At 39.2% G+C, this 11,585-nt stretch overlaps 1 long non-coding RNA gene across 1 annotated transcript in view; it reads right to left on the bottom strand.

The window, feature by feature from the left end:
• Window positions 1-1,956: 1,956 nt before the first annotated feature.
• The window catches only part of LINC01980 (long intergenic non-protein coding RNA 1980), a 62,738-nt gene continuing 53,109 nt past the window's right edge, over window positions 1,957-11,585 (bottom strand). Inside the window, exon 5 of the long non-coding RNA NR_146630.1 lies at window positions 1,957-2,195. This is a non-coding gene — a long non-coding RNA (long intergenic non-protein coding RNA 1980). The remainder of the gene's footprint in view (window positions 2,196-11,585) is intronic.

Below are 11,585 nucleotides of genomic sequence, written 5' to 3'. Positions count from 1 at the left end.
ACATTGAACTCCAAGATCAAGAATACTTTTGCTCTTAGTCTACCAAGTCACTACACCAATATACATAACCTGCTCTGAGAGACAAGTTTTAGTTTAGGGTTCACCTTTAATTTACTGGGTATATCTATGCAAGTTGCTTGATTTTTTGAGAACGGTCATTTAGTAATGGCCCTTCTATTTGATTTTTTGTTTCCTAAGATATTTATAATATAAATAAGATTTGTTTAAAAAGTAAAATGCATTCATAGTCCATCTAACTAGTACCAGGATAATTTTTCTAGATATGTTCATCTGTCATCTCTTTATTTTGCCTTCCTTTCTGAGTTTGATCTCAGTCCTAGCCAGGCATGGTGGTGTACACCAGTAGTCCCAGCTACTCTGGAGGCTGGGGCAAGAGGATGACTTGAGCCCAAGAAGTCAAGGCTGCAGTGAGCTATGATCTCACCACTGCACTCTATGCTAGGTGACAGAGTGAGATCCCGTCTCTAAAAGACAGCAACAATAACAACAAAATGATCTCAGTCTTTTTAATTCATTTAGAGCAATGGTTCTCAATCAGAGCAATTTTGCCACAGGGAAGGTTACAGATATTTGGCAACATCTGTAGATACTTTTGATTGTCACAGCTGAGGAAAGCAGTGTCACTGGTCTCTGGTGAGTAGAGGCCAGAAAGCTGCTAACCAATATTTAAGGAACCTGGACGTCCACAACAAAGAACTACCTGGCCGCAAAAGTCAATAGTGCGGAGGCTGAGAAACCCTGATTTAGAGTGAGGCCCTTCAACTTGTAAGAATCGAGCTCAGCAGCCTCACTTCTAAGACAAGCACCTCCCATTAAACTTTGATTCCCTCCCTCCTCCCTAGCTCTGACAAACAGCTGTTTCAAAACAGTAACACACAAAGTGTATCTTAAACATATGGAAAGTCAAGAAATTCAGAGTTAAGGTTTAAAAATTCGAGGCTGGCACCCTGATGTTAAAAAAAGACAAAGCCTAAAGGTGTCAGGGTGTGAGCTGAAGACAAAGTGTAAGCTTTCAACTCCAACCCTGCTACTTTTGGCTTCTGTGGGCTTAGGTCAGACTCTCTCTGCTATCCTGGGGTGGTTGTTCTGTGGTTTCCTTTTGAGTTCTATAGAACTTGAAGACACAAACATTGGCAATACACAAGGCAGGCCTCAAGAGATGGAGGCATGAGCCATTTAAGGTTTAAAATCTAATTTTTAAATTAATATTTCTTTAATAAAACCACTAAGATGTGGCACTTTATGTTCCAGATTTTCACAACTGTTGTTTCTATCACTTATCTGTTTAAAAAATCAATTAACGTGTTAATTTTTTGAGGTTATAACTGTAAAAGATAAAATGGCACAGCCAAAAAGCATAGTAGTGAGAAACAGGAGAAAAGTGGATTTCAGCCTTACCTCTACTGTTCACATTTTGAACAAGTTCCATAACTTCTCTGAATCTCCCCTCCCCCTTCTATAAAATTGGGGAAAATAATCTCTACCTCATGGATGGACATTGTATATAAAATACCAATTAGAATTCTAGAACATAAAGGCCCTCAATAAATAATAATTCTTTATTAAAAATCAAGGTCTCTCTTTAGTAATGGAATCAAACTATACAAATATGAAAAGGTAAACTAAAAAATTCAAAATCATGAATGGCATGGCAGCCTGCCCTGAGAGTGGAGAAGGTTACAGAGTGGTCGCCCATGATTACTTAGCCCAGAACCAATAACTACCAGCTACATATATTCATGTGAAGACGGAGAGGAGGACCAGGATACCAAAGGTAGAAAAGCCAAGGGCACAGGGAGAGGTCATCAAGTTGTTATAATTAGCTGGACTATAGCATATTTACAAGAGTATGGTCAGAGGTGAAGCTGGAAAAGTAATCTGTGCTAGTCAGGTATCAACACAATTATGATGTATAGTAAGCACCACAAAACTTAATGATATACATTAACAAGCCTTTATTCTCATACTCATAAATCTGCAGGTCAGCTGAGGTTCAGTTAACGTAGATTGAGTGTGGCTGGGTAGCTCTGATTCTCCTATGTATTAGGTGACTTGAATCCAGGCTGTGGATTGACCTCAGGTCTTCCTTGTGTGTGTTAATTTTGGAGCCATGGCTAAAGGGATAGCAGGAATCCAGGGCATGTTCTTCTCATGATGGATCTGGAGCATAAGAGCTGAGCCAAATCATAAAAAAACACAGGTAAGACCTTTGCTCTTGCAACATCTACTCATATTTCATTGCCAAAGCAAGTCACATGGGGTGAGGAAACAAACCCAGCAGGAGGGCACAGCAAAGTTACCAGACAAAGGTATGAATGTACAATCCTATCACAGGGGAGTGAAGAATTATGACCAAAATTATAATCTATTGCAATGTCATGTAAGGGCAGATCTTAAATATAGAAATAATGTGCGGTAGGGCACAGTGTCTCACACCTGTAACCCCAGCACTTTAAGAGGTTGAGGCGGGAGGATTGCTTGAGCCCCAGAGTTCCAGACCATCCTGGGCAACATAGCAAGACCCTCGTCTCTACAAAAAAAATTTAAAAAATTGTACCAGGTTTGGTAGTGCACACCTGGAGTCTCAGCTACTCAGGAGGCTAAGGTGGGAGGATCACTTGAGCTTTGGAGGTCGATGCAGTGAGTCATGATTGCCCCCCCTGCACTCCAACACAGTTGACAGAGTAAGACCCTGTCTCCAAAAATAAAATGAAATTAAATAAAATAGTTGCAATAGACAATCCTTAAAAAGAAATGATGTGCTCAGAGCTACAAAGGCAATTAGAAAAGATTTTCTGTTGCTAGGAGGAAAGTCATGAGGAGCTGCATTTCAGAGGAGGTATTAGAAAAGGAGATAAAGGGTTGAGATCATGGAATTTAAATAATTTAACTATTTACTGGCTGGTGGGCAAAGATAGTGCCAAAAAAAAGGAGCCATCACAAATAAATTTGGAATTTGAGAGTTTGGGTCTTATAGTCTGAGAGAACAGTAAAGTTACCCATAATAATAATGCATATATTTTATTGAGCACATATTGTTTGCCAGATAATGTATTAAGTATTTGGTAGGCAATTTTTTAATCTTCGCAATAAACCAGTGAGATAAGTATAGTCCTTATCTTTATTTTTGAGATGTGGTAACAGGCTAAGTAACTTACCCAAGATCACAGAGCTAAAAAGTGGTAGACTCATGATTGATAGGCCACTGATGGGCTCTGGAGTCCACACTGTCTTGCCATTTATTTATTTCCTTATTTCCTACCCTGCTCTATGGTTGAAATGTTCATATTATTTTATTAACTTCTAGTTTAAGCTCAGGGGTACATGTGCAGGATGTGCAGGTTTGTTATATAGGTAAACATGTGCCATGGTGGTTTCCTGGACAGATCATACCATCACCTAGGTATTAAGCCCAGCATCCCTTAGCTATTATTCCTGATGCTCTTCCTCCCCACAACCCTGCTCTGACAGGCCCAAGTGTGTGTTGTTCCCCAACTATGTGGCCATGTGTTCTAATCATTCAGCTCCCACTTATAAATGAGAACATGTGATGTTTGGTTTTCTGTTCCTGCATTAGTTTGCTGAGGATAATGGCTTCCAACTCTATCCATGTCCCTGCAAAAGACATGATCTCATTCCTTTATATGGCTGCATAGTATTCCATTGGAGATATATACATACATATATATATATGTATGTATATATCTCACAATTTCTTTATCCAGTCTATCATTGATGGGCATTTAAGTTGATTCTATGTCTTTACCATTGTGAATAGTGCTGCAATGAGCATACACATGCATGGATCTTTATAACAGAATGATTTATATTTCTTTGGGTATATACCCAGTAATGGGATTGCTGGGTCAAATAGTATTTCTGCCTCTAGGTCTCTGAGGAATCACCACACTGTCTTCCACAGTGGTTGAACTGATTTACACTCCCACCAACAGTGTAAAAGCATTCCTTTCTCTGCAACCTTGCAAGCATCTATTGTTTTTTGACATTGTAATAGTAGACATTCTGAATGGTGTGAGATGGTATCTCATTGTGGTTTTGATTTGCGTTTTTCTAATAATCAGTGATGTTGAGCTTTGTTTCATGTTTGTTGGCTGCATGTATGTCTTCTTTTGAGAAGTGTCTGTTCATGTTCTTTGACCACTTTTTAATGGGGTTGTTTATTTTTTTCTTGTTAATTTGTTTAAGTTCCTCATAGATTCTGGATATTAAACCTTTGTCAGATGGATAGATTGCAAAAACTTTCTCCCATTCTGTAGGTTTTCTCTTCACTCTGATAATAGTTTCTTTTGCTATGCAGAAGCTCTTTAGTTTAATTAAATCCCATTTATCAATTTTTGCTTTTGTTGCAATTGCTTTTGGCATTTTTGTCATGAAATTTTTGCCCATGCCTATGTCCTGAATGGTATTGCCTAGATTTTCTTCTAGGGTTTTTATAGTTTTGGGTTTTACATTTAAGTCTTTAATCCATCTTGAGTTAATTTTTGTATAAGGTAAAAGGAAGGGGTCCAGTTTCAATTTTCTTCATATGGCTAGCCAGTTATCCCAGCATCATTTATTAAATAAGGAATCCTTTCCTCATTGCTTGTTTTTGTGAGCTTTGTCAAGGATCAAATGGTTGTAGGTCTGTGGTCTTATTTCTGAGTTCTCTATTCTGTTCCACTGGTCTGTATGCCTGTCCTTGTACCAGTATCATGCTGTTTTGGTTACTGTAGCCTTGTAGTATAGTTTGAAGTTGAGTAGCATGATGCCTCGTTCTTTTTGCTTAGGATTATCTTGGCTATTTGGGCTCTTGCTTCCATATGAATTTAAAACTCTTCTTTCTAATTCTATAAAGAATGCCAATGGTAGTTGAATAGGAATGACATTGAATCTATCAATTACTTTGGGCAGTTTGGCCATTTTCATGATATTGATTCTTCCTATTTATGAGCATGAAATGTTTTTCCATTTGCTTGTGTTTTCTGTGATTTCTTTGAGCAATGGTTTATAGTTCTCTTTAAAGGATCCTTTACTTCCCTTGTTAGCTAAATTCCTAGGTATTTTATTCTCTTTGTAGCAATTGTGAATGGGAGTTCATTCATGATTTGGCTCTCTGCCTGTTGTTGGTGTGTAGGAATGCTAGCAATTTTTGCACATTGATTTTGTATGCTGAGACTGCTGAAGTTGCTTATCAGCTTAAGAAGCTTTTGGGCTGAGACAACAGGGTTTTCTAGATATAGGAAAATGTCTTCTGCAAACAAAGATAATTTGACTTCCTCTCTTCCTATTTGAATTCACTTTATTTCTTTCTCTTGTCTGATTATCCTGGCCAGAACTTCCAATACTGTGTTGAATAGGAGTGGTGAGAGAAGACATCCTTGTCATGTGCCGGTTTTCAAAAGGAATGCTTCCAGCTTTTGCCCATTCACTATGATATTGGCTATGGGTTTGTCATATATGGCTCTTATTATTTTGAGGGATGTTCCTTCAATACCTAGTTTATGGAGAGTTTTTAACACGAAGGGGTGTTTAATTTTATTGAAGGCCTTTTCTGCACCTATTGAGATAATCATGTGGTTTTCGTCTTTAGTTCTGTTTATGTGATGAATCACATTTATTGATTTGCTTATGTTGACCTAACCTTGCATCCTGGAGATGAAGCCAACTTGATCATGGTGGTTAAACTTTTTGATGTGCCGCTGGATTTGGTTTGCCAGTATTTTATTGAGAATTTTTACATTGATGTTCATCAACGATATTGGCCTGAAGTTTTCATTTTTTGTTTTATCTCTGCCAGGTTTTGGTATCAGGATGATACTGGCCTCATAGAATGAGTTAGGGAGAAATCTATCCTTTTCCTTTTTTTGTAATAGTTTCAGTAGAAATGGTACCAGCTGTTCTTTGTACCTCTGGTTAAATTCAGCTGTGAATCTTTCTGGTTCTAGGCTTTTTGGTTGTTAGGCTATTTATTACTGCCTCAATTTCAGAACTCATTATTGGTCTATTCAGGGATTCAATTTCTCCTTGGTTCAGTCTTGGGAGGGTGTATGTATCCAGGAATTTATCCATTTCTTCTAGATTTTCTAGTTTATGTGCATAGAGGTGTTTATAGTCATCTCTGATGGTTGTTTGTATTTCTGTGGGGTCAATGGTGATATCCCCTTTATCATTTCTGATTGTGTTGTTTGATTCTTCTCTCTTTTCTTCTTTATTACTCTAACTGGCAGTCTACTATTTTATTACTTTTTTTTTTCAAAAAATCAGCTCTTGGATTTGTTGATTTTTGAAGAGTTTTTTTATGTCTCTGTCTCCATTTCAGCTCTGATCTTGTTATTTCTTGTCTTCTGCTAGATTTGGGGTTTGTTTGCTCTTGGTTCTCTAGTTTTTTTGTTTGTTTGTTTGTTTGTTTTGGATATAACGTTAGGTTGTTAACTTGAGATCTTTCTAGCTTTTTGATGTGGGTATTTAGTGCTATCAGTTTCCCTCTTAACCTGCTTTAGCTGCATCCCAGAGATTCTGGTATGTTGTCTCTGTTTTCATTAGTTTCAAAGAACTTCTTGATTTCTGCCTTGATTTCACTGTTTACCCAAGAGTCATTTAGGAGCAAGTTATTCAATTTCCATTAGTTGTGTGGTTTTGAGTGAATTTCCTAGTCTTGAGTTCTAATTTCATTGCTCTGTGGCCTGAGAGACTGTTTGTTATGATTTCAGTCCTTTTGCATTTGCTGAGGAGTGTTTCACTTCTGATTATGAGATCAATTCTAGATTAAGTGCCATGTGGTGATGAGAAGAATGTATATTCTGTTGTTTTTGGCTGGAGAGTTCTGTAGATATCTATCAGTTGCACTTGATGCAGAGCTGAGTTCTGGTCCTCAATATCATTATTAATTTTCTGTCTCAAAGATCTGTCTAATATTGTCAGTGAAGTGTTAAAATCTTCCAATATTATTGCATGGAAGTCTAAGTTTCTTTGTAGGTTTCTAAGAACTTGCTTTATGAATCTGGGTCTTCCTGCATTGCATGCATATATATTAAGGATAGTTAATTCTTCTTGTTGAGCACTTTACCATTATGTAATGCCCTTCTTTGTCTTTTTTGACCTTTGTTGGCTTAAAGCTTGTTTTGTCGGAAACTAGGATTGCAACCTGTGCTTTTGTGTGTCTGTGTGTGTGTGTGTGTGTGTCACAGGCTCTCACTCTCTCACCCAGGCTAGAGTGCAGTGGTGCAATCTCGACTCACCACACCCTCTACCTCCTAGGTTCAAGCGATTCTTCTGCCTCAGCCTCCTGAGTAGCTGGGATTACAGGCATGCACCTCTACCACCTGACTAATTTTTGTATTTTTAGTAGAGACAGGGTTTCACCATGTTGTCCGGGCTGGTCTCGAACTCCTGACCTCAAATGATCCATCCGCCTTGGCCTCCCAAAGTGCTGGGGTTACAGGTGTGAGCCACCATGTCTGGCTGCAACCCATGCTTTTTTCTGTTTTCCATTTGCTTGGTAAATTTTCCTCCATCCCTTTATTTTGAGTCTGTATGTGTCTTTGCATGTGAGATGGGTCTCTTGAAGACAGCATACTGATAAGTTTTGGCTCTTTATCCAGCTTGCTATTCTGTGTCTTTTAATTGGGGCATTTATCCCATTTACATTTAAGGTTAGTATTGTCATGTGTAAATCTGATCCTGTCATCATGATGGCAGGTGGTTATTTCACAGACTTGTTTATATGGTTGCTTCATAGTGTCACTGGTCTATGTACTTCATGGAGTTTTTATAGTGGCTGGCAACAGATTTTTCTTTCCTTATTTAGTACTTCCTTCAGGAGCTCTTGCAAGGGAGGCCTGGTGGTGATAAATTCCTTCAGCATTTGCTTGTCTGTAAAGGATTTCATTTATCCTTCACTTATGAAGCTTAGTTTGGCTGGATATGAAATTTTGGGTTTGAAATTCTTTTCTTTTAGAATGTTGAGTATTTGTCCTCAATCTCCTCTGGCTTGCAGGGTTTCTACTGAGAGGTCCACTGTTAGTCTGATGGGCTTCCTTTAGTAGGTTACCTGTCCTTTTTCTCTGACTGCCCTTAACATTTTTTCTTTCATTTCAACCTTGGAGAATCTGATGATTGTGTATCTTGGGGTTGATCTTCTCATGGAGTATCTTACTGGGTGATATGGTTTGGCTCTGTGTCCCCTCCCAAATCTTATCTCAAATTGTAATCCCCACATGTCCAGAGAGGGACCTGTAATCCCCATGTGCCAAGGGAAGAAGGTGAGTGGATCATGGGGAGAGGTTTCCCCCATGTTGTTCTCATGATAGTCCCCCTGAGATCTAATAGTTTTATAAGTGTTTGACAGTTTCTCCTTCACACATTCTCTCTCCTCCTTCCATGTGAAGAAGGTGCCTGCTTCCCTTTCTGCCATGATTGTAAATTTATTGAGGTCTCCCCAGCCATGTGGAACTGTGAGTAAATTTTATAAATTTTTTTTTATAAATTACCCAATCTCAGATAAATTTCTTTATAGCAGTGTGAAAATGGACTAATGAGGTTAATTGGCACTGGGAGTGGGACACTGCCATTAAGATACAGAAAATGTGGAAGTGACTTTGGAACTGGGTAACAGGCAGAGGTTGGAACAATTTGGAGGGCTCAGAAGAAGATAAGAAGATGTGGGAAAATTTGGAACTTCCTAGAGATTTGTTGAATGGTTTTGATTAAAATGCTGATAATGATATGAACAATGAAGACCAGGCTGAGGTGGTCTCAGATGGAGATGAGGAACTTCTTGGGAACTAGAGCAAAGGTAACTTTTGCTATGCTTTAGCAAAGAGACAGGTGGCATTTTGCCCCTGCTCTAATGGAACTTTGAACTTGAGAGAGGTGATTTTAAATTGGAATTTATGTTTAAAAGGGAAGTAGAGCATAAAAGTTTGAAAAATTTGCAGCCTGACAATGTGATAGAAAAGAAAAAACCTAGCCAGGCGCAGTGGCTCATGCCTGTAATCCCAGCACTTTGGGAGGCTGAGGCGGGTGGATCACGAGGTCAGGAGATTGAAACCATCCTGGCTAACATGGTAAAACCCCATCTCTACTAAAAAAATACAAAAAGTTAGCTGGGCATGGTGGCGGGCGCCTGTAGTCCCAGCTACCTGGGAGGCTGAGGCAGGAGAATGGCGTGAACCTGGGAGGCAGAGCTTGCAGTGAACTGAGATCACACCACTACACTCCAGCCTGGGCAACAGAGAGATATTCCATCTAAAAAAAAAAAAAAAAGAAAAGAAAAGAAAAGAAAAAACCTATTTTCTGGGGAGAAATTCAAGCCAGGTGCAAAAATTTACATAAATAACAAGAAGCCAATGTTAATCACCAAGCCAATGAGGAAAATGTCTCCAGGGCATGTCAGAGATCTTGACAGCATTCACCCCATCAGAGGCCCAGAGGCCTAGGAGTAAAAAATGATTTTGTGAGCCAGGCCCAGGGACTTGGTGCCCTGTGTCCCAGCCACTCCAACTCCAGCCATTGCTAAAAGGAGCCAAGGTACAGCTTGGGCCATTGCTTCGGAGGATGAAAGCCCCAAGCCTTGGCGGTTTCCATGTGGTGTTGGGCCTGAAGATGCACAGAAGTCAAAAACTGAGGTTTGGGAACCTCCACCTAGATTTCAGAGGATGTATGGAAATGCCTGGATGTCCAGGCAGAAGTCTTCAGGGGTGAAGCCCTCATGAAGAACCTCTGCTAGGGCAGTGTGGAAGAGAAGTGTGTGTTTGGAACCCACACCCAGAGTATTCACTGGGCCATTGCCTAGTGGAACTGTGAGAAGAGGGCCTCCATTCTCCAGACTCCAGAATGGTAGATCCACTGAGAGCTGGTAGATCCACTGGGAGCTGACTCCCTGAGACAGGGAGTCAAAGGAGGTCATTTTAGAGCTTTAAAATTTAATGACTGCCCTGCTAGATTTTGGATTTGCATAGGACCTGTAGCCCCTTTGTTTGGGCCAATTTCTCCCATTTAGAATGGGAGTATTTATACCATGACTGTACCCCTATTGCATCTTGGAAGTAACTAACTTGTTTTTGATTTTACTGGTTCCCAGGCAGAGGAAACTTGCCTTGTCTCAGATGAGACTTTGGACTATGGACTTTTGCATTAATGCTGAAATGAGTTAAGACTTTGGGGGAATGTTGGGAAGTCATGATTGGTTTTGAAATATGAAAATACATGAGATTTGGGAGGGGCTGGTGCAGAATGATATGGTTTGTCTCTGATGTTCTGGTCAACCAAAATGGTCATGACTGACATAACCATCACATCTACAGTTATTCTGTGGGAAAGCCTTATATTTGATAACTTCAGTTAAGTAGTCCTTCTTCCTCCTCCTCCCTAGTCTAATCACATCCAAGTACAAGTAAAAAGTAGAGATTGTGAGTTGAAATAAATACCATCTGACTTTAAAATGCACCTCCATGTATTCTCAATACTAAATAGCCATTCCCTGATATGGCAGGTGCTACATATGCTAAGGCTCCTCTCCTTGAAACTGGAAGGAGGACAACAGTTCAATGAATGTTCAAAGATTTTACATATGAATTATTATCCCCAGGTAACTACTACTGTCCTCTCCATATTCCTATTTTACAGTTTTAGGGATGAAGCCTCCACACATTGAAAGGCTCTCTGAGTCTACATCCCAGTCATCCACATCACAATGGTTTTAGCTCCCCCTATTTCCTGCCAAATTTTTAGCTAATCTTTGAATTACATTAACTTTCTCCATGGAGCAGTAGACATCAAAAAGTGGGAAAAATTTCTAAAATATCCCCTTTAATTATTCTACATAATTATTCTCTTCAGTAGAGAGTTCGATACATAATTACTTCTTTTTAGAAAAGCTTCTTTCAGTGATTGGGATCCAAGAAGAGTGTTCTGGCTTTTGATGCTGAAGAGAAAGGAACTTAGCATTCTGGAGGGATGTGCTTCAGACTCAATGCTGAAGGTGGTTTCTCCCAGTTGATTTGCTATATATATATATATAGCAATATATACAATATATAGTCCTTCCTGACTGCTATAGGAAAGAAAAAAAAAGGCTGTTTTTCTTTTCCTTCTTAAATATCTGCAAACTTTTTATTATGTCTCCTTTGGTGAAGGTGCAAGCCCAGTAGCTATCTCAAGGAGGCCAACAGATACCAAGAATCAGTCTCAGCAAGGCAGTTAGCACAGCAGGCAACACCTCTGACATCCACACACCTCAATTATTTTCAAATCAATTTTTGTTTTTGTTTTTCTAATACATAGCCAATATAAAAGGTGACATTTTTGACAAGCTTCATGCTTTTTTTTAAAGGCTGGGTTTGGGAGGGAGGTAAAGAGGGATGTTTGCATGTGGTTGTTGAGATGATCTTATTTTGCTTCCAAGAAAATCAATGAACTATTTAATTACAGATGGAAGCAACTTTGCTTCAGAGTTAACCATAAATGCCCTGAAAAGAGAGCCCAGGACAATATACGAAGCATATGAAGGAAGAAAAATCATGAGTTAAATTTAGGAACATGACAGTAAATATACAAATGTGGCT

Source organism: Homo sapiens, chromosome 3 (assembly GCF_000001405.40).
Source record: "Homo sapiens chromosome 3, GRCh38.p14 Primary Assembly".
NCBI lineage: Eukaryota > Metazoa > Chordata > Mammalia > Primates > Hominidae > Homo > Homo sapiens.
Note: the sequence above shows the minus strand (reverse complement) of the source record. Positions and strands in the feature narration are given on the sequence as shown.